This window comes from Homo sapiens, chromosome 2 (assembly GCF_000001405.40).
Source record: "Homo sapiens chromosome 2, GRCh38.p14 Primary Assembly".
Taxonomy (NCBI): Eukaryota; Metazoa; Chordata; class Mammalia; order Primates; family Hominidae; genus Homo; species Homo sapiens.
Window position 1 is genome coordinate 214,237,485 of NC_000002.12, and position 24,791 is coordinate 214,262,275.

At 33.5% G+C, this 24,791-nt stretch overlaps 1 protein-coding gene and 1 long non-coding RNA gene across 13 annotated transcripts in view; one reads left to right on the forward strand and one right to left on the reverse strand.

The window, feature by feature from the left end:
- SPAG16 (sperm associated antigen 16) overlaps positions 1 to 24,791 on the forward strand; it is a 1,126,038-nt gene that overhangs the window by 953,021 nt on the left and 148,226 nt on the right. The window contains exon 16 of one of the 12 annotated variants that reach the window (XM_011511815.3): positions 652 to 725. The exons of the other annotated variants lie outside the window; for them this stretch is intronic. Coding sequence (XP_011510117.1) covers positions 652 to 710 — 59 coding nt within the window. The 3' untranslated portion in view covers positions 711 to 725. Of the gene's footprint in view, positions 1 to 651; positions 726 to 24,791 lie in introns of those variants that run through there. 12 annotated transcript variants of the gene reach the window in all.
- LOC124907973 (uncharacterized) lies at positions 3,282 to 9,036 on the reverse strand. Its single transcript, XR_007088072.1, has 2 exons — positions 8,546 to 9,036; positions 3,282 to 4,517 (listed from the first exon to the last, which is right to left on the reverse strand). It is a non-coding gene; the product is annotated as an uncharacterized LOC124907973 (long non-coding RNA).

Genomic DNA, 24,791 nt, shown 5'->3' on the forward strand with positions numbered 1-24,791 from the left:
AGGGAACTGTGATTTTTGTTTCAAAAATTTAATAAGTTAAATGATTAATACATATAGTCCTCCCAGAAAAAAGGAAAAGGCAAATCATAGTCATCTCTTTCATTACTGTAAAATGTGGTAATAATTTAGAGACCAATATTTTGTTGATTCAATTTTTGTCATTTACTAAATTAAACAATAATATGTATAACATAATTCCAGTTATGAGTTTACTCTTGGGAGTAACTATATCTTTACTTCATCTCATTTCCTCTCTAAAAAGTCATCTGGATGTGAAAGTATACACACAAGGTAAAATATATAGTATATTATAGTGTAAAAGTATGATTTTTAAAGAACTTGGAAAAAGAAAGAAGTTTAATGGGACTTATATTGGGTTCTATAGATGCAGATTAAAACTAATAGTTACAGTAGTTTTAATTCCTATGTTTCATGTATAGAAACCATGCTATCATTCTTCTAAATCTGTAAGCTTTTTGCTGTAGATTTAGGATTTAGAGCATTATATCTAATTCTAAAACAAACATTTGAATTATGAAGAAGTTCTTATGCTGCAGAAATTTATTTAAATTTAGACTGTCATTAGCATCAAGAATATTTTTTATTCCATTAACAACTTTTAATTAATCATACAATTTGCTTTTATTTCAGAAAATACCACGTATCTTTATAGACTAGGAGCTCAGATATATTATTTCCAGCTTTCTTGATGTTACCTCAAATTGAAGTTGCCAATGGTAGGACTGCACAATCTGAATACATATGATGAGATATTTTATGCCTCGTTTTCCATCTGCTTGAGTTAGCACCCTTTCACCATTGGCCATTTCATACTACCCAATTTCCATGTAATTTGTCTCTCTAATCTTGTCAGCCCCTTGAAATGAAGGTGCACTTTATTCAGGGATTATTTTCATGCTCAAGATCATTTTGTGAATTATTTTATATCATTATAAATAATCCTACTGTTACCTTTTCAATACAAGAATTTGATTTCCCAGCATTAATGGGTTCATTCAATAGTAGTGCCAAGTTCATACAGCAACACTGTAATTGCATTTTAATCAGAAACTAGTAATATATGCTGAAGATACTTTGTTAAATTAACATTATTGCTGTGATTAACAAAGCACACTGTTAAGTGAATATTGCATGAATTAAATTACATACTAGATCACTTACATAGTTTAGGATTTCATGTGCTATCTAGCTACCTCTTCCCACAAAATCTACATCCTTATCTGTTTTACTCATAAAAATGTAATTCTTGAAGCTCATAAGCATAGCTACTTAAATGATTCCTTTGCTTAATAGAAACATCTTTGTTCACTACAACAAGCTTATCTGCACTACATTTTTTAGGAATAAAGGATATGTGATATGTATTATTTGAAAACTGGCATTCAATTGCCACACTTGGCTGTTCACCATAAAACTCCTATTTGAAATCTAACTTTGAGGACTTCTTTGAGGATACTAGAGTTATAGTTCTGAAATAGTTACTTGCAGAAATGCTATCTATTAATTTAAATTTTGGTTTAAAAAACTCATAATATTTTTTTTTGAGACAAGGATTCACTCTGTTGCCCAGGCTGGAGTGCAATAGCACAGTCAGAGCATATTGCAGCCCCAAACTTGTGGCCTCAAGTAATTCTCCTCCTTTAGCCTCCAGAATAGCTAAGACTACAGGCAAGCACCACCATGCCTGGCTAAATTTTTTTTTGAATGTTGTAGAAATGGAGTGCCACTATGTTGCCCAGGCTGGTCACAAATTCCTGTCCTCAAGCAATCCTCCCAAAGTGCTAGGATTACTGGCATGAGCCACTGCACCCAGCCTTAATCATTTTTAGTGCACAGTTTAGTGGTATTAATTATAGTCATGTTGTTGTACCACAGATCTCTAGAACTTTTTCATTTTGCAAAACTGACACTCTGTACCCATTAAACAATAAATCCTCATTTTCAAAATGAGATAGCTTCTCTAGATTTAGTAAAGCTCTCTTCTTTTTCATTATTTTGCTTTTCTGTGAAAGGGGACTTCAAATTTATTTTGAGGAAACAAATGTAAACACTCATCTTAAAGTATGTATATTAAGACTATTTTAATAATCAGAGCAAACTTTCATTTATTTAGCTATTTTCAGTTTGCAGCCTACCATGCCAAACATTACTTTATTGCTGTTCCCTGCAGTCCTTTTGACAAGGATGGAGCACTGTCAGAGCTGCACTGGAGCTGGAGACAGGGATAGAGGACACTCAGGATGACAGCCCCCACCCAGAATCCTGGAGAGGAAAGTTGCTATTGTTGAAAACATAATGGATCTGGTTGTTATTAAAGTACCTGAAGTCAGCTGCATAAATTGGGAAGCATATGCACGCTTCTGCTTTACTGTGGCAATTTAAAACAATATAAATTTCATAAAATTCTCATTGAAAAAAAATGACCAAGAAAAGCCCTAAAAATAGTAGGAAATGTTACCCATCATTACATCCTCCACCATCAAGGCCAAGTAGTCAATACCCACGCCAGATAAGCACTGTGTGCCTATGTGAGGTGGTCATTAAAGAATGATGAGGAAAGGACCACAGAAATCAACTGGTGTCTTCCCAAAGTCCTGGGGACGCTGAGGAACACACATGGGTCTCATAATGTCCATGTCCTTCCCTTATACCTCAATGCTCTTTCCACCTTGCCCTGGTGGAAAGTCTTGTCCATATCACCTCTAATCCAGCATTCTCAAAGCAGCACAAAACTGTCTTCAGAAGACTGAATGTTTCTACATTCCTTCATATTAATTCCAGGAAAAGAATTCCCAAGTCAAATAATTCAAATGCTAAGTGTATTTTTTAAAATTGTTTTTAGGCACTTTCTCTTAGGAATGTAAACTCTTTGAGGGCAGGGTCTATGTCCTTTCATCATTGTGTTCATCAGGCTTTATCATTGTCTAGCATATGGTGGATGGATAAACAACCATCTCCGTAAAGATATCTGATTTCTATTCCAACTACACAAGCTCCTTTTCTAGTATACACAGCCACCAAAATAATGCTTAAAACATATGTCTCAGAATGACAATCAAGATAGAAGTCTTAAAGCAAGAAAGATGTTTTCCTTGTTTGTTCTTCTATAAATTCTCTAAAGATTCATAAAATTTAGCTATACAATCTACTTCAGATAATGGCTTCTAGATGCTATGTAGAAATTGGCCCATTATGCAAGATAAAAATCATCTAAGATTATAATGCAAATCAGTCATCATAAAAAATATAAAGATCTAGAATTTATAGAAATTCTACTGAGCATTTATTTTATGTGAAAGAAAAATACATCCACAGTACATACATAATTAAATGTAAATGTATGCTGAAAAAGTTCATAATCATGAAAAATACATATCTTGATGGACTACTTTTATTTGGCAACCTTTACCTTCCAATATCTGTCATAATATTAGAGTAGATTAGAAATTATATCTACAGTCTCAACTCATTTTATGAAATATGAGTAACGGTAGGTATAGATAATTTATTTTCCCTCAGCTGTACATAAAGATGGATAATTACATCTTTCTAAAAAAATGAAGCTGACCAGGCGCGGTGGCTCACGCCTGTAATCCTAGCACTTTGGGAGGCCGAGGTGGGTGGATTGCTTGAGCTCAGGAGTTCAAAACCAGCATGGGCAACACAGTGAAACTCTGTCTCTACTAAAAATACAAAAAAAAATTAGCCGGGTGTGGCGATGTGCGACTGTAGTTCCCAGTTATTCGAAAAGCTGAGGCAGGAGAATTGCTTGAACCTGAGAGGCGGAGCTTGCAGTGAGCGGAGATCACGCCACTGCACTCCAGCCTGGGCGACAGAGCAAGACTCCGTTGCCAAAAAAAAAAAAAAAAAAGAGGAAGAAGCCATTAGGTCTCTTCTAACCTTTACCTTTGCAGACTTTAATGTTGTCAGCTAGTCCAACATCATTATGCACTATTATTTGAAGGTGCTCATCCATTTTCCCAGCATCTTTTGTGTTGTCATAACCCTTACATGCAGTATCAGTAAATATGGCTTTATTGTTTGACAACATAAATTCCTTAGTGACGTTTTCAAAAGAATAAGAGTTTTTAACCATTTAGTTAAATAGAAATAAATTGATGATGGGAAATGTCTGCATTCTATGTTTAATTTTTCTATCAATCTAAAACTGCTCTAAGAAATAGAATTCATTAACTAAAGTAATGATGTAGGAAAAGTTTAAACTAATTTACTGTTTACTTAAACTGCAATAGCAAAGGCAGGAGAATAACTTAACAACCTTACAGTTAATTATTTTACAGGATATGTTACCTGCCTTTCATCTTCCCTGAGTATAAGACAAGGAAGCAGACTTAAACTCTCATGAGAGAAATGTAAGTTGTATAAAAAAAAAAAAATTCTGATGGTCAGAGTCTGCTAATAGTATTGAAACTTCTGGATTTCATATCCTGGATGCAGGTGATTAAATTGTCTGGTATAGCTTAACATTCTCTTGCCTAGAAAGAAGAAGATAAATTAGTCAGCACTTGGAAAACTGATCCAACTTCTTGTTACTATAATTCTATATTTCTCAGACTGGTTTGCTAAGCCCATTAGAACAGGGGCTTCATGAAATTAAGGTCACAGGTCTAATTCTTATTTCAACCTATTAGCTTCCCTTTCTTCTGAGGGACTTTACTTCAAACATCAGCCAATCATCTTGTAACTTTCACCCAGTCACGAAACTCACAAGACAACATACATGGAGTGGTCAGGCACCTACTCATTCCCATAATTCTCTGGAACATACTTCAGTGTGGGCTGGACTATCGGTGTCACAAGAAGATACATGACACCGCAGAGATGGCCCAGTACAGTTTTTCCTTGTCAAAATCATAAAAAGACTATGGTAATCCTACAAATTCTGATTCACCCGTGTCAAAGAAAGGAAGGAAGCTTCAGAAGGTTGTTTTCTTTTCTCCTTCAGAGACTTACACCAAATTATTTTGAATTTGCATTTTTTTCCAGTCTTTAATTCTTGACCAGTAAGAAGTCTCTCAACTCTAGTCATTGAATCTACCAAAATATTTTGTTTCAAAAAATAAGAAAAAAATATTGCATTTTTCTACATTTTTGAGTAGAAGAATCTCCCTAATCATTGGTTATAAAAAATGAAAATATAACACTGAACAAGTTAATATTACAAATAACAAAATAAATGCCCACTGTGTAAAAATAATGCAAAATTCATATTTCAAAGTTACCATAATTTGAATACATAGGTCTCTTAGAGTCAAAAACCTCATAAAATGTGTGATGACATTTTTCAGGACATATGTAGCATCTTCTAATCAGATGCTAAATGTGATCTATTAACTATCACTTGGGTAGCTGCAGCCCTACATCGATTGTTTTATCCTGTTGATAAAATAAAAATTTACCTCAGGAATGACTCACTGGTTAGTAAAACTGAATTCTCTTAAGCTTAGGACTTGGGAAAATCAATAATTGGAAAGATAAATGTTTTGAGTCATAATGAAAAGCATGTATAATAAAATCCTGTATAAGAGCCTGAGGCATCATCCAAATTTATAGAAGTGGTAACTAAGTGTTCAAAGACAGGATAGAGGAAAGAGCCTAGAAACCTGGTTCAATGTCTGGAAATATTTGTCTCTTTAGAGTGATAAATGAGTTTTAATCAAATTGACTGTAGAAATAGAACCAAAAGGAACATTATTCTAAGTGGTATCGGTAATCAAGGAAGAAAAGCCTGGTATTAAGAACTTACCATCTTTTCAGTGGTCCCTTAAGATGAACCAACGATTTGAAGAAAACAAACTTGATTATAATATACAAGCTTGCCTATATTTATTTATAAAATATTCTCAAAGTGTAGTTTAATTTTAATAAACCTCTCTCTCTGAGTCAGGGCTCATAAAATTTAACTATAGTACCTGGCCTAATTTTTTTGAGTCATATGTTAATGTAAATCATTAATTAATCTCATATATTGATGAGTATAGTATGAATTATCTTTTTATAATATCTTTGATATATAAATATTCACATAAAAGGTTATAATGTGTTCTAAAGAATTAATTTCTGACTATACATTATATACTACTAGTGTCTAGTTTAAGACTATATATCACTTCTTGTTTGGGAATTTATGTTTATATTTAAATGTCAATAATTATCTTCACTAGCTCACCAATTACATGCAATTAGTGATTACAGGCAAATAATTTCCTAAAAATTTGAATGAAATGATCTTTTAAATTGTGTTATGAAATATCAAACAATATAGAGTTTGGATTGGCAACAGTAAATAGAACAGAGCATCTCCTTCTACCCATAGCCCTTCTCTGACATCCTACAAATAGGAATGAAGGAGTTCCTCAAATCTGCACAGTCACCTTAGGGCCTGGGTCAGGTTTTACCCCCAAGACACATATACGACAGAAAGACAGGAAAGTGTAATGTGATCACCAGTAATGTTTCTAAAGTTCAAATTTAAAACTTTCACAGCCATTTATAAATTCTTATATAAGTAATTTTAATCGTAATGCATTGCGAATAACAAAAACTCCTACTGTAATAGCTTTCTTGGGAATCCACTCAATCAGTTACATATGTATAGGAAATAAAGGAATGCCTTCAAATTATAAAAAATACTGAAAAATATTTAAATTGGATATATTTAAAATAATTACTTTTTTATATAGAATGCCATAGATCAGAATCCATATGAAAATTGAAAACATGACCTATTATTTATCAGCTCCCAATGCAATTATAAATAGATTTAATTGGCACTGGGATTTAAGGCTTACTTACTAGTGTGTAACTAATTAATAGAATTTTCAGCTCACTCAGCATGTGACTTCTTCAATGATAAGCTGAAGTTCCGAAAAAAAAAAAAAAGACTTAAAATGACTATGCACATGATTTTTAAATTACTCTCCATGTTTATGGAGTAATTGAGAAACAAACTAAGTTTCATAGTTTCTGAGGCCCTGATAGGAAGCCAAGTAAGGATTTAATATGATAAAAAACAAACCCACAAAAAATCATACATTAAAATACTAGTAAGATAAATAATTGCTGTAAGTGAGCTTCTATATTATTAAAACTTTTTGGAATGTAATTAAAATTAATTTTAGAGAATTTTTAAAAATAGTTATGTAAGAATCAATTTCTATTTTGAAAAGTGTATTATGACTACTAATGCTCCATTGGTTTAAATAAATAACACTGGAATTCTATATTTTATCATAATCATCTTTGTTACTAATATAGCTGATTATTATACTTTCATTAATGCCCTTTATTCAACGTATATTTTTATTCTTTGTACACTCAACAAGACTTTGTTTAGAAGTTTCTGTAGTCTTAACCTGCCTACCTCTTCTGAAATGTCTCCTTATTCTCTTTTTATCTCTAAGCTTTCTATTAAAAAGTATGTCTAACTCAATGCTTTCTTAACTACATTTCCAAACCTTTTACTATGCCAGGACATTCTTCAGATTCCTAGAACCATTGGTTGCTGTTCTCATGTTCCAGTGTCCTTGAATTACTATTGTCTGAATCTGCATTCTATCTATAAATTATGCATGTCTTCAAATAGCACCTATAAACTTCTACTTCTGCATGCTGTTCCATAATTGCCAAATTACTGCACAAGAATATTATTCTGACTATACAGCAGCATTCTGAAATCACGGATTTAGGATTTATATAGATTTATGTAGATGCTTTTAATATCCACGCTATTCCCGGCATATTTTTCCACCCTATATGCTGCAGTTCCCTGATTACCTGGCACTTCTCCACCATCTCTTTCCCCTAGTCCCCAATGATAATGCAATTGTCTTCCATTAAACTGCCTTCTGCACCACCTTTTGTAGGGCCTAAGTCCTGTATCTTAATGATACATTTTTATAATTTGAAAAATTAGATGTTTAAAAAAGGTATTAAAGAAAATATAAGTCATTGAGCATTTTTCTCTATACAATCAAAAGAATTAATAATATATTGGCTGAATGCTTTAGAGAAAGACTTGGAAATAGTCTGAAACATTTTTTCTTTAAAGAAAACTATTTTGTATTTTAAAAGAACCTATTTTTCACACATAAAGGGGACAGACTTTTGTTTTATAAAATATACTAAACATACATTCTAGTGTGTACCCAAGGCAGTGTCTGACCATCTGCTGGTAAAATTTAAGGGCATTTCAGGTCAACTCAAGCAAATAATTTTCAGTTCTTCAAATTAGGTATTCCTGTCAATATTGTATTACATTTGACATTTGCACTGTTTTATTGGGTTAGAGCCCTAAGCAGAGGAATTTTTTTAAATTTACCTGATATGTGTTCAAATATTCCCTAGTACACTTCAAAGGGCCTAAAACGTACGTTTTGAATGAATAAATAATCAAATGCATAAATTTGCACTGTGGAATTTACATGCACAGTTAAGCCATCAAATGTAAAGACAGATTTCTAGTATACGCCCCCATTGTATGGGTATTGCAGATTTTCCATACCTGGTAGTCATTTGGTATGCTTGGAAATTCCCAAGGATACAACTTATATTAACTGTTTCTAGGTCCTGAATTTTCTTCTAGAAACCTGTTGACAAACAAAAAAAAAATGAGAGGGAATTAGGAGATATATGTTGTCTTTCTACCTCTGCCTCTAACAGAGGGACTTTAGACAAATCCCTGGACTCCGTAGTTTACAAACGCACAAATTATGAGGACATTGTTTTTCTCTTAGTGGCTATGGCAGATTCAGATTGTATTTTCCAAAGTTGGCAGTAGCAATATTTCTCATCCAACATTCTCTTCCACAATGTCACGATGACATTCCTCTCATTGAGAGGTGAAATCCATGATCCCTCCCTTTGAAACCGGGTGGGCTTGGAACTCCCTTGTTACTAATAGAATTGACAGAATTAACATTGAGTGACTTCTGAAGGTTGATTAGGAAAAGCCAAGTAATCAAGGCTTTGTATATGGAAGCACTTATGCTGGAACCCTGAGCATACTATAAGCCCTTGACTATGCTTAGTCCACTGTGCTGCAAAGAAGCCCAAGTTATATTCCAGAGAACAACCAAGCAGAGCAGCCAGGCAGTCCTCAGCTTCCCCAGCCACTCACCATTGCAGCTTCAGCTAATCTCTAACTGCAGCCACAGGAGAGACTTTAAGCTAAAACCACCCAGCCAAGTCCTTTCTGAACTCCAGAGCTTTGGGGAATGTTAAATATAATAGAATACTTTTTGCTTTCAGCTGCTATATTTTGGAGATATTTTTAATGCAGTATACAGTATCATTCCTTAGGTAAAGAAAAATGATTCCATGCCACAAATTGCTTCTTTATTCTTTGAAAAAAATATAACCTTTCTAATTGACTACATAAATGTTTTTGTCAGAGATATGTTAGTTAAGTGCCTTGAATTGTTTCAGGAAAACATGCTATAACAATAATTTTGTTTATCATATCATGAACTCATTAAAAATAAAATGTTTTTTAGTTTTAATTACACCAAGACACAACACTGCATCATAGGAGTAAACCACTTGTAAATTGTAATTGAAAATGTAATTTTTGAGGGCTACAGGCTGGGTGTGTATAGTCTACTCTTTGTGGCTTTAATCCTAGCCTTCTTGAATCTTCATTAGTGAAATCTATAAAGAATGTAATCATGTATCTCAGAAGAATCATTTGTTAAGTGCGACTGAGATGATATATTCCATCATGAATATAACCAAAAGAATATCTTTTAGGATATTCTTTTATATCTTTTTTCCAAAAAAAAAGAATCTTGAATAGATTCATCTGAAGTCTAATAGGTTTTGTTTTATATTCTGTTTTTACATACTGGATTAGTGTGGATATCTAGAATGTTAGGAGCCTCTCAAGGGACATAACTAATATTCATCAATGGATCCTTCACCTTTACTAAATATTGTCCCCATAGTAGATGGTCAGTAAATGTTTGCTGACTGAATAAAAGCCTACAAGAAACAGTGATTAATTAGAGTGTGACTTTAAAAGCTAATCATACAAAGTATGTAGTTATATACTTTGGTTAAGAAGATAAAAGTTTATAGTTTGAGATGCTTCTTCTACTCCAAGGTCAACACACTCTCTGCAACCATAGCTTTATAGCAAACATTGGACTAGGTATATGGGAGGACAGGTACATTTTCATGAATCCAAGGTGAAATAAGAACAGCTGATGTGACAAAAAATCAACGAGATCCAGGCATGGTGGCTCATGCCTGTAATCCCAGCACTTCAGGTGGCCAAGGCAGGAGGATTGCTTGAGGTCAGAAGTTTGAGACCAGCTTGGGCAACAGAGTGAGACCCTGTCTCTACAAAAAATAAATTAGCGGGGCACGGTGGTATGCACCTATAATCCAAGCTACTCAGGATGCTGAAGCAGCAGGATGGCTTGAGTCTAGGAGGTTGACGCTGCAGTGTGCCATGATCACACTATTACACTCCAGCAGGGACAACAGCAAGTCCGTGTCTCAAAAGAAAAAAAAATCAACAAGAAATCATAGAAGTTAAATTTATAGTCATTAAAATTAAAAAACACAAAATAGAGCAATCTCTAGTTCAGATATAAAAGTATATTAAGGAATTCATCCAGAACACAGAAAACAACATAAAGAAACATAAAAATATTGACACTATGCATCTAACAAGAGTGCTGGAACTAAGAGGTTAGAGGAAATTTTATTCACTCCAGAAATATTTACTGAATACCTGCTATGTGCTGGGTACTATTCTTATATTATTATTATTATTATTATTATTATTATTATTATTATTATTATTATTGAGACAGAGTCTTGCTGTGTCGCCAGGCTGGAGTGCAGTGGCACAATCTCAGCTCACTGCAACTTCCACTCCCCAGGTTCAGGCAATTCTTCTGCCTCAGCCTCCTGAGTAGCTGGGACTGCAGGCGTGTGACACCACACCCAGCTAATTTTTGTATTTTTTAGTAGAGACGGGATTTCACCATGTTGACCAGGTTGGTCTTGATCTTGTGACCTCATGATCCACCTGCCTTGGCCTCCCAAAGTGCTGGGATTACAGGTGTGAGCCACCATGCCCGGCCGTGCTAGGCACTATTCTAAGCACTTGATTTTGCAATGAAAAAGCCAACAAAAAGTCCTCCTGAGATTTTAATTTTATAAGATGGTGGGATAAGATAATAAACAAATGAACAAATAAGTATATAAAGGAGAGAAGCAATTGATACTATACAAAAATTAATGCATAATAAGAGAATAGCAAGTGACAAAGAAAGCGATATTTGAGACAAGATGGTCTAGGAAGGACTCTCAGATATAGTTAAATTTATAGAAAAACTGGAACGATCTGATGATATAAGTTTTGCAAATATCTGGGAGAAGACTGTTCTAAAAACTGGAACCACAGCAGATAAAAGTTTTAAGGCAAGAATAGTTTTGGCATACTTGAAAAACAAAAGACTAGTATGGCAGAGAAAGCATATTTAAGGAAATGATAGGTAAGTATTTTCAGAATTGAAGAAAACCATGAGCCCACAGATTGATAGCACCCTCTGAAGGCAAAGAAATATAAATTTATACCCAAACACACTATGTGGGACTGAAGAATGTGAAAAATTAGGAAAGAAATCCTCAAAGCTATCAGAGCTATCAGAAAAACTACCAGAAAATTCAGACAGATTGCCCACAATCAAGTACCAGATAAAGGCCAGTAAACAAAGTAGAGTTATTTTGAAAGTCATGATGGACAAACTAATCCAGATTTTTGTGAACATAAAAATGCATTTTCAAATTCAAAAGTGAAGCCAAAGTAAAGACATTTTTCAGCATAAAAGTTGACTGTTTACCACCCACAGATGTACACTAGAAGAAGGAGAAGGAAGAGGAGGGAAAGGAGAAGGAGGAAAGATAGGGATGGGGAGGAGAAGAGGAAGGAAGAGGACATGGGGAGGAAGGGAAATCAGAAATAACAGTACTCACAGAAATGAATAACATGTCAACAAATTCATTTAACTAGTAACTGTAAAAAACAAATTATTTTTATATGACAAGTAAACACGATTGACAATAAGATGGAAAGTAAAATCACACTATGATTTGCATCACATTTAGCAGGAAAATAAAAATAATGGAAAAGCACGTAAACATTTAAAACTGTTTAGACTGATACACATGGTGGATATAACAGTATTTCTAGTAGTAGTAAAAAGTTTAGTTCAAAGATTTAAATTTTTAAAATTATAAATATTGCTGATTTGGAGCCTCCTAAATACATAACATTTTGAGAAAAAGTAGATTGAAGTACTATATTAGTTAGAAGAAGACTAGCTATGTTACAGTAACAACTAAAACTCTAATCTCAGTGCTTTAGCCTGATGAAAGTTTATTTTTCACTCACGTACTGTCTGATGTGACTAGCTAGCTCTTCTTGGTAGCTTTCTTCCAATGATGACTCAACAATTCAGTTCCGCTGATGTTCACTTTGCAACTCAAACATTGTGAATTTTCTTCCAGCCATGAGGTTAGGAAAGCACAGAAAACTTACTTTATTTCTTAAGTGCCTCAGACCAGCAATTACATATCAGTTTCACTCACATTCTCATTGACAAGAATTATTCACATGGCCATAACCCAACTGCAAGAAAGTCTGTAAAGAGAGGAACACTCATAGACATTTGATAAGCATTCTCTCTGCCACATTTATTGACAGTTATTTATCATTTCACATGAAAAAGTTACATATGTTTCTGAAAAATAAATCTCAAAGAAAGTTAAAAGTAACTAAATCTCTTCAATGTGTAAATAGAAATCATTCAGAGGGGAATATTATGGATTTTTGGATATAATTTTATGTTAAATATATTTTAAGTATTTACAAACAATATAAGTTAGCAAAATGAATGAATTCACAAATTCTCTAATAATTATTCAGTTTCTCAAACCTAATCATATTGAATAAATTCAATATTTTAGTATGTACAGAAGGAAGAAAACAAGTTAAAAGCTTTCTAATTGTTAATTCAATAACCTTTTGTAAAATAAAAAATACCTTTTAAATTTGCAATATAAAGTAAAATTAAAGCTCCTTTAGAAAAATATATAAATATTTATATATTTCTATTTATATATTATATATTTATATATTATATCTATATATAAAGAAATATATATAATTTATATATATTTCTAAAGGAGCTTTGAGATATATATATATATATATATATATAGAGAGAGAGAGAGAGAGAGAGAGAGAGAGAGTCAAACTTTTAAGTTTAGAAAGGCAAAGCAGAGTTTAAACCAGAAGCACTTTTGTTATTCGTTTCTCTAAAATGAATTGTCTAATTTTCTCAGATTTTGATTATTTTGATGGTTTGTTCCACTTTATAATGTCAGAAAAATATGCTACATCATATTAAAAAAATAGAAATTTAGCTTCAAACTACCTTTGCCATTAAAAAGTCTTTTTTTCTATCTAATATGCACATAAAGCACTATTGTTTTATTACAGCTAATGAATACAGTTAAATGGAAACATTTAAAGATTTCTTTTTCCCTTACCTGGGACATATTTTTTAATGTTCTTTCCTATGATAAGTTACTATGTATATTGTAACATTGTGAATAAATACAAGTTAGGGTTTGGGTGAATATATTTTCACACACACACCTGCACACACACTTAAAATTTTACTCAGACTTTGAGACCTGAGTAAATCTAAGGCTACAGATTTACTTGTTGCAGAAAGAAAAAAAAAAAGTCACTGCAAAGCTATGGAAGAAGTATGAGGTCAATTTCAAGAATTAAAAGTAATAATAATAGGCAAAAGATAAAGACTAGAAGAACTGAGGGTTTGCTTTTCCTCTCACATTTATTTCTGTGACACAAAAATGAATATTTCTTAAAAATCTTTAATAACCTTAATAACTGAGTACTAGTAATAAAAATTATCAATAACTGAGTACAGCTGATAAAGATTATGACAAGTCTTATGTGGTTATATTTCATGTGCTAATGCTCAATATATGTAAAATTTGATTTTAAAAATGATCAGTTAGCAAATTCATTTCATGTTTTGTGAGTAAGGATGCACATTACTGAATTTCATGGTTTTCTCATTTACGTATTTCAAGAACAATGTCACTGCATGGGGCTTCCTCTGTGTCCAAGAAACGTACTCCTATAAAGTGCTTGCTTGCTTTGATTCACTGCCTCAGACATGTTCCACTATATCTGTTTGCATCTGTTTTTTAGTTCAAGGTTAAATTATTCATACCTGAAATACAGCACAAATTGCTGAAAAGTAGGGTCTAAGTAGCCAAGGGGATGTTTATTTCTGTCTGCTGAAAATGTTAGACGTAAAACACTGATAAAGTAGTAGAATGCCTTTAGTTTGTTTCCTTTTAAATTCTGAGGAATTGCATCAGACTAATAATCTTAAATGAATTGATCTGATGCTTTGAATATTATTATTTTGCTTTTATATGGATGATTTTAAAAGATGTCCACTCTCTAAGTAAAATTTTATTATGTCTGGTCATAAAAATATGCTCAGAGGAAAGTATTTCCCATTTTATAGGCCAAGTCTGTAAAAATAAAAAATGAAATTCTTTGAAATTTTTGGAACCACGTTTGTTTCCCAGGGGCAGTATGGAATGATGGTATAAAGAACACTGGATTTGCTTGCAAAACCTAATATGTTGACATTTTGTGAAATAGAAATATTCCTTTTTTTTAATTTTGTAGCTCTAACTTTGTTTTTTATTTTAATTTTTTATTATTATACTTTAAGTTCTGGGGTACATGTGCAGAACGTTCAGGTTTGTTACATAGGTATACACGTGCCATGGTGGTTTGCTGCACCCATCAACCCATCATCTACATTAGGTATTTCCCCTAATGCTATCCCTCCCCTAGCCCCCCACCCCACGACAGACCACAGTATGTGATGTTCCCCTCCCTGTGTCCATGTGTTCTCATTGTTCAACTCCCACTTATATGTGAGAATGTGTGTTTTTTGGTTTTCTGTTCTTGTGTTCGTTTGCTGAGAATGATGGTTTCCAGCTTCATCCATGTCCCTGCAAAGAACATGAACTCATCCATTTTTATAGCTGCATAGTATTCCATGGTGTATATGTGCCACATTTTCTTAACCCAGTCTATTATTGATGGACATTTGGGTTGGTTCCAAGTCTTTGCTATTGTGAATAGTGCCGCAATAAACATAAGTGTGCGTGTGTCTTTATAGTAGAATGATTTATAATCCTTTGGGCATATACCCAGTAATGAGATTGCTGGGTCAAATGGTATTTCTAAGTTCTAGAACCTTGAGAAATCGCCACACTGTCTTCCACAATGGTTGAACGAGTTTACAGTCCCACCAACAGTGTAAAATTGTTCCTATTTCTCCACTTCCTCTCCAGCATCTGTTGTTTCCTGACTTTTTAATGATTGCCGTTCTAAGTGGCATGAGATGGTATCTCATTGTGGTTTGGATTTGCATTTCTCTAATGACCAGTGATGATGAGCTTTTTTTCATATGTTTGTTGGCTGCATAAATGTCTTTTTTTTTTTTGAGAAGGATCTGTTCATATCCTTCACCCACTTTTTGATGGAGTTGTTTATTTTTTTTCTTGTAAATCTGTTTAAGTTCTTTGTTGATTCTGGATATTAGCCCTTTGTCCAATGGGTAGATTGAAAAAATATTCTCCCATTCTGTAGGTTGCCTGTTCACTCCTATGATAGTTTCTTTTGCTGTGCAGAAGTTCTTTAGTTTAATTAGATCCCATTTGTCAATTTTGGCTTTTGTTGCCATTGCTTTTGGTGTTTTAGTCATGAAGTGTTTGCCCATGCCTATGTCCTGAATGGTATTCCCTAGGTTTTCTTCCAGGGTTTTTATGGTTGTAGGTCTTACGTTTAAGTCTTTAATCCATCTTTAGTTAATTTTTGTATAAGGTGTAAGAAACGGGTCCAGTTTCATTTTTCTGCATATGGCTAGCCAGTTTTCCCAACACCATTTATTAAATAGGGAATCCTTTCCCCATTGCTTGTTTCTGTCAGGTTCATCAAAGGTCAGATTGTTGTAGATGTGTGGTGTTACTTCTGAGGCCTCTGTTCTGTTCTATTGATCTATATATCTGTTTTGATACCAGTACCGTGCTGTTTTGGTTGCTGTACACTCATAGTATAGTTTGAAGTCAGGTAGAGTGATGCCTCCAGCTTTGTTCTTTTTGCTTAGGATTGTCTTGGCTATGCAAGCTCTCTTTTGGGTCTGTATGAAATTTAAAGTCGTTTTTTCCAGTTCTGTGAGGAAAGTCAATGGAGATTGATGGGGATAGCATTGAATCTATAAATTACTTTGGGCAATATGGCCATTTTCATGATATTGATTCTTCGTATCCATGAGCATGGAATATTTTTCCATTTGTTTGTATCCTCTTTTATTTCTTTGAGCAGTGGTTTGTAGTTCTCCTTGAAGAGATCCTTCACATCCCTTGTAAGACGTATTCCTAGGTATTTTATTCTCTTTGTAGCAATTGTGAATCGGAGTCACTGATGATTTGGCTCTCTGTCTGTTATTGGTGTCTGGTTTTGCACATTAATTTTGTATCATGAGGCTTTGCTGAAGTTGCTTATCAGCTTAAGTCGATTTTGGGCTGAGATGATGTGATTTTCTAAATATACAATCATGTCATCTGCAAACAGAGACAATTTGACTTCCTCTCTTCCTGTTTGAATGCCCTTTATTTCTTTCTCTTGCCTGATTGCCCTGGCCAGAACTTCCAATACTGTGTTGAATAGGAGTGGTAAGAGGGGGCATCCTTGTCTTGTGCTGGTTTTCAAAGGGAATGCTTCCAGTTTTTGCCCATTTAGTATGACATTGGCTATGGGTTTGTCATACATAGCTCTTACTATTTTGAGATACGTTCCGTTAATACCTAGTTTATTGAGAGTTTTTAACATGAAGGGCTGTTGAATTTAGGCGGGCTGTATATCTTAAAACAATCGGTCAGCTTAGTCAGTCAGTAGTGTTTGAGAGACCTGAATAGCCAAATTAGGAAAAAGGATTGCAAGTTGATGTGAGTTCTTTGAGAATGAAGACAGTTTCCCACTGAGTTTCGTTGATTCTTTCCTTACTTAATCTTTTGTTTCTATTTGTTTGAGAAAACGATGTAAAACTTAGGTGTTACTATTTTAAACAAAAATTAATTACAGTCATATTTATAACTAGGCTAGGAGTAAAAGATATATTTAGTTGGGGGAAAACTCATTTTTATTTTCTAATTTTGAGAGGTATTTTTAAAACTAAGATTGGTTTTTTTTATGAATTGTAAAAATCTTTTGATGTTATTCTTTTAACTGAAGGATGTAAGACCAAAAGTAAAATAAAATAAAATAAAGAACACTGGATTTGGAATTGAAAACCAGGATCCAGTGCTGGTTTTGACACTTGATAGCCTGAGGGGATAATGGTGTAACTTCCTGCATCTATAAAATGTGAGGAAAACGCATTTTAATATGCATAGTAAACTAACACAGTCTTCCATTACCAATGCTTATTATCATTGTTGCTTTAATATGAAAGTATTTTCACTATATCAAAGTTACTAGCATAAAATCAATCATCAGTGAATCCATTATCAATCTAATCAGTGTCTATCTGGCATCTTTGTCTTGCTAGTGTACCCACTTCCTCCTTTTGGTGGTATAACTGGGTCTTTCCTTCAGGGAACACATTCTGTGATGTGGGCAGATTTATTTCTTCTGTAGCCAAAAGCATAAGAATTAATTAGAATGTCTGTCACTCTGGCCCTGGGATTTTTCTAACGTAAAGAAATGTTGAAAAATGTTAATGCTGAGTAGCCATCTCCCACCACCTTCAATCCACAATCAACATTTTATTATAGCTAATTTATCCATTTATCTATCTTCCTACCCTTACATCAATGCATCTTATGTTTTGATGCATTTAAAATTGACTTGCAGGTATCAATACAGTTACTCTAAACACTTCCACACATATTATTGATTAGAGTTTAATATTTCCATGAGGCAGTGCAACTCAAATCTCTACCAGATATGGAATGTTATTGTCCCAGAAAATTGTTCTCTCGTGCCCCTTTTCACTCAATCTCCATCTACCTCTCTCAGCTGCAATCATTACCAGGGTGGTTTTCAACCATATATTAGTTTTTGACTACAGTAAAGCTGCAAATAAATGGAATCTTTTGTGTAAGATTTCTTCATATGTGTTAATGTGTATATCAGTTTATCCCTTATTTCTGAGTAGTATTCTATTATATGAATATATTGGTTTGTTTACGAATTACGCTATTAATGTGGGCATGAGGTGTTTTTGGTTTTCAGATATTATCAATAAAGCTTCTGTGAACATTCTTCTACATAGTCTCTCATGAAAGTGTTTTCATTTCTCGTGAGTAAACACTGAGAAATGTAAAGCCTGTCATAGGGCAGGTATAGGTTTAAAATGATCTCATAACTTTTCTCATAATAAGGATATAATGTTATATTCCCACTAGTAATTTGTAGAAGTTTCAGTTCCACATCCTCACCATCATTTGGTGTGTCAACATTTTTAAGTTTAGCTATTCTGGAGTGTGAATATTAGTATCTAATAGTAGTTTTATTTTGCCTTTCCCTGATGTCTAATGATGTTGAGCACCTTTTCATGCACGTATTGGCCATTCATACACCTTTTTTAATGATGAACCTACTCAATATTTTGCCCATTTTTAATTGGCTTGTTTGTCTTTTTATTGCTGAGCAGTAGAACTTAGTTATTTATTGTAGACATCAGTCCTTTGCCAGATATATGTTTTGCAAATTGTTTTTTCTAGTTTGTGGCTTGCTCATTTATTTCTTTTCTTTTACGGTTAGTGCCTCTTAGGACCTGTCCTAGAAACCTCTGTCTACTTCTTATTTGAAAAGGTATTCTCCTTTGCTGTTTTCTAAAAGCTTTATAGTTTTAATATATTGATCTATGATCCATCTGAAATTAACTTTTCTGTATGTTATAAATCTGGGCGAGAGTTTTTGTTGTTGCTGATTGTTACCTGATGATTTCAGCACCATGTGTTTAAAACAAACAAACAAACAACAACAACAACAAGAACAACAACAAACCCTTAACTGTCCACACTGGGTTCCTTTGGTGCCTTTATTAAATGTGAAATGGTTGTATATATGAGTCTACTTTCTATTGCCTCTTCAGTTTGTTACATTGATCTATTGTCAATTTTTATGCCAGTACCACACTTTCCTTAATGTAGCATTATAATAAGTCTTAAAGTCAAACGGTTAGAAGTCCTCCAAAGCTGTTTTTCTTTTCAAGATTCTTTTACCTATTCAAAGTTTTTATTTTTTGCATTTCCATATAAATTTTAACATCTTGTCAATTTGTTTAAAAAATTATGGGAACTCTTTTGGTGTGGAATGTATAGATTAATTTGGGCATAATTATATTTTGTATCTTGCAATCCGTGGAAATGATGAATCTCATGACTTATTTAGTGTTCTTTAATTTCTCTAAGCAATTTTTGTAGTTTTCAGTGTAAAGCTCCAATATTGTTTTAAATGCATTCTTAAGTAATAGCATGTATTTTCATACTTTTATATATAGAATTCTCTAATTTTTGAACTGCTGCTAGTATAAAAAAAATGTGATAGATTTTTATATACTTAGCTCATACCCTGTGACTTTGGTCGTTTCACTTATTAATCATAGTAGTTGTGTTGTCAAGTTCTTAGGATCTTCTTCATAAGCAATCATGGTATCTGCAAGCAGAATTTTCTTTCTTTCCACTTGTTGTGACTTTATTTATTTCTTATCCTATTGCGCTCTTAAGACCTCCAGTAAAATGTTGAATAGAAATGATGTGAATAGGTATTCTTGCTTTGTTCCCCATTATAGGTTAAAACACTCAATATATGAACATGAAATATGATGGTAATTGTAGTTTCTTAATAGCTTCTCAATTTGCTAAGAGTGTTATGAATGAGTGTTGATCATCAAATGCTTTTCAACATTCATTGAAATGACCATGTAATTGTTTCTTATTTATTCTCTTAATATGGTGAATGATAATGATTTTTGAATGGTAAGCCAATCTTGAGCTTTTGTAAAACAGCGAAGATAAACAACATTATCATGATGCATTGTTCTTTTTATATATTACTGGATTAATTTAACAATAATATTTTCAAGGGATATAAAGGACATTAATATATGGATTTATATTTGTAAATGTTGTATTAATGGTATTGTTGCCTTCATAAAACCAACTGGGAAGTGTTCTCACTCTATTTGATGCAAGAGTTTGTTTGGATTGATGCTATTTCTTCCTTAAATGTTTGGTAGCCTTCACTACTGAAACCATATGGGCGTATAGTTTTTCTTTATAGAAATATTTTGATAACAAATGAATATATAATAGATGTAGAGCTACTCAGATTTTATTATTCATTTCATGTTTTTATAATATTTATTTTTCAAGAAATTTGTTCATTGCACTTATGTTGTAGAATTTCCTGGCATGTGGTAGATATTTTATTTTTCATTTCAGTAGGTTTGGGAGAACAGGTGATTTTTGGTTATGTAGAAGTTCTTTAGCAGTGATTTCTGAGATTTTGATGCACCCATCACTGGAGCAATGTACACTGTACCCAATGTGTAGTCTTTTATTCCTCACCCCCCTCCCACTCTTCTTCCCGAGTCCCCAAATTCCATTATATCATGCCTTTGCATCCTACTAGCTTAGCTCCCATTTATAGGTGAGAACAAATGATATTTGGTTTTCCATTCCTGAGTTACTTCACTTAGAATAGTGGTCTCCAACTCCATCCAAGTTGCTGCAAATGCCATTATTTCGTTCTTTTTTATGGCTGAGTAGTATCCCACAGTGTGTGTATGTATGTGTGTGTGTATATATATATATATATATACACACACACATATATGTACATATATATCACATTTTCCCCATTCATTTGTTGGTTGATGGGCATTTCAACTAGTTTCATATTTCTGCAATTGTGAAGTGTGCTGCTGTAAACATGCGGGGGCAAGTGTCTTTTTCATATAATGACTTCTTTTGCTTTGGGTAGATACCCAGTAGATACCTTAATATTGTACCACAGGCTCCTGAGACACTGTTTATTATGTTTCAATCTTTTAAGTTTTTATTCTTCAGATTGGATTATTTATATTAGTATATCTTCAGCCGCCTTCCTTTCTTCAGTTTTCTTTTCCTTCAGTTAGTTATCACCACTCTGCTATTAATCCTATCTAGTGAATTTTTAATTTCAGATATGGTTCTATTATATAATTTCAATTTGGTATTTTATATAGTTTCCATTTCCCTACTGAGTATTTTTATTTTTATTCTTTGAGAACATAATTTCTTTTATGTCTTTAAGCATAATTATCATAGTTATCTTAGACTTCTTTGCTATTAATAGTTCCAACAACTGAGTCATCTTAGTGTTGTGGAGTATTACCTGTTTTTTCTCTTAAATATGGGTCACATTTTTTTTCTTAGTATATCATTTTTATTTGTATTTTGGATTGTTTTAATAAGGTTGTAGATACTTTTAATTTTGTTACTTTTTTCCTAAGGAGGGTTGATTGAATTCATTTTAGTAGGCATTTGACTTGGATGGACTAAAACTACAAGTCTGTCTCTTTTCAGGTGGCCAGCAACTCAAATATCAGTTCAGTTGTTTTAACTGTGGCTGGGTTGTTTGGCATTTACCTTGTGCATTCCTGATTCAGTGGTCAGCCAGATATTTGGGCAGAAAAAAAATACATATATATAATATATATGTATATAACATAGTGTATATCTACACTATATAATTATATATGTATATATGTGTGTGTATATATACACATATAGAAATAAATGCGTACACACACACGTATAGCTTTTTTTTTTTTTTTTTTTTTACTTTCTGGCTCTCTCCTTTCCTGGATTGTCACCTGCCCCCCTCACCCCTCCCCCACACACGTTTCGGCAGATATAACCCTGAGCCATTTCCTTCTTCCAGGCGTTCACTCTCCTTCACTCTCCACCTGCCTATTTGATTTTTGGTTGGTTTGGTTGGTGTTTATTTTGTTTTGTTTTCGTCTCCGGTTCCTTTGTGTAGCTTTGTTTTTGTACTTTGTTTTTGTTTTCGTCTGTATTCCTAAATTTGGTTGTTTTAATAGGAGATGAATACCATACCAAAAGCACAATTCCCACAATGTGTGTTTGCATTTGTCTTCTAAGTGAACTCCTGAATTATCCAGCTGCGTTATCTACATAGAGAGCCAGATCATCTGTCTCAGGCAGTTCTCCTTTGACCAGATCTTTCCATTATGAAAGCTCAGGGACATTAAAGTGGTTCTCAAATCCCTTTGTTAAAGAACTGCGCCATTTTACTAAGATTATGTAATTTTTAATCTTTTAATACAAAGGAAGAAAATTTTATTTAGCAGAGGATTAAACTATTCTGCTATGATTTTGTAGCTAAATTAAAAGAATTATACTTAAAGATTTTTGTTCTGATTAGTGGGTAGTGTTATTTTTATATTAAAAAAACAGATAAAATCTCAGTCCATAACTTCAGGGACAAAGGAAATATAATTTTTAAAAATTTTCTAAGTGATAAAAGACTATACATTGGGTACAGTATACACAGGAGATGAGTACACCAAAATTTCGGAAATCATCACTAAATAACTTATCCAGGCAACTAAATACCACTTGTTCCCCCAAAAACTATTGAAATGATAATTTTAAAAAGAGCTCCCAGAAAAAGAATATCTAATTTTTTTTTTTTCTTTTCATTGTAAGCCTCTACCACCTGGTAGGAGAAGGTAATAGTAAATTTGGTATCTTCTCCGTTTTCTTCCCAGGGAGTATTTCCACATGCTACTGTGTTATAGATGCCAAACATTAGAGAAAATAATTTAGTCCTTGGTTCATCTGACTACACTGGCATCCATTAAAAGTCTATTATTTCTTTGGTTATTTGTCATCTATGCATGGCTTTCTTTTCATCTTAAGGACTCCTATTAAGTCTTGTTCTCTCTCTCAGCTAACTCCTGGGATTCTCTTTACAGCATGAGTTCTTGTTCCTGTGTCCAGAGATCTGTTATCATGTTTCTAATTTCTTGATGCTACTTACCCTCAAACACATAGTGCCTGGGTATCTATCTTTGACTATTCAGGCATTAGCCCTTTCTCTTTTGCCTCTCTCCTGGCACCATAGAGTATGGTAAAATTCTGAGACTTGGCCAGGTGCAGTGGCTCACAACTGTAATCCCAGCACTTTGGGAGGCTAAGGCAGGTGGATCACCTGAGGTCAGGAGTTTGAGACCAGCCTGGCCAACATGGCGAAACCCTGTCTCTACTAAAAGTACAAAAATTAGCCGGGCGTGGTGGTGGGCACCTGTAATGCAAGCTACTCAGGAGGCTGAGGCAGGAGAATCGCTTGAACCTGGGAGGCAGAGGTTGCAGTGAGCCGAGATCGCGCCACTGCACTCCAGCCTGGGCTACAAGAGCAAGACTCAGTCTCAAAAAAAAAAAAAAAAAAAAAAAAAAAAAAAAAAAAAAAAAAAAAAGGAAAAACCTGAGATTTTGCTGCTGCATTCCTGAAACTCCCTCAGGACTGTAAATACCTCCCTCTCCCTCTCTTTTTCTCTCTCTTTCCTTTCTCCACCAGCCCCTCCCACGATACCATCACATACCGTTCACTCACACAGAGAGCTAGGCTTCAGAAGCCCCCTGGAATTCCCAATACTGATGCACTCCCTGATTCTCTTCCTGTCCCTGGAGAAGGACTTCTTTTCTAGTCTGGCGGCTAAGAAAGCTCTGCCTTTATAACAAAACTGTTTATACTCTTAGTCTCTCAGGATTTAGACTTCTGAAACCCAAAAGCTTTGCTTTCTGAAAGTGTGGATGTGAGAATAAAAATCTAGCTTGAAGGAAGTAAAGTTATAAGTTTGATAGGAATTGAGGGGGAGGAGGTAGTGAAAATTAGTTAATTTTTTGGAACACTATCTTATCACACACATTTGCCCTTTATACATTTATTATTTTTGCTATTCAAATAAAAGTAACAATATGTATTTTAACAGAGTAATTTTTTATTTGTGCTTATTAAGTTAAATTTTTCTTTTTTCTATCATCTTGGATATAATAAACGAAGTGTAAATATATGTATATACCTGTATAATTACAGTCAAGAGTTTAAAGTTTGTATTCTAACTTGTCTCATTTATAATTTTTATGCTAAAGAATGTGTGATGAGAGACCTCTGTGGAATTTTGATGCAAATGTCAACCAAAAATTCTTGGTAGCATAGATCATCTGTCTAATTCAAGACCTAATGCTGAATTATTAGACAAACATCTCTGTAAATACAAGATTGGTTTATTTTTATCATGAATAAAGGGGAATTCTCATACAGTTTTATTTTACTGTCCTTTAGACCTTACAGTTTAATATCTAAATATTAGACATTTACATTAGATATATAATTAGACTATCTATCTGATATTCATTAGATAGCCTAATGGATTTGTCATTATTGTCCTTCTGTCACTTTCCATGTTTAAAATTTTCCCTTATTATTCCAGCATCTTCAGTGTATTATATAAGAAAAACATTTATCAAACTGCTCTTAGCATGAGAAAACATAATATACCAAGGAAACAGGAGGGAATTTCAGAAATTAGAATAAA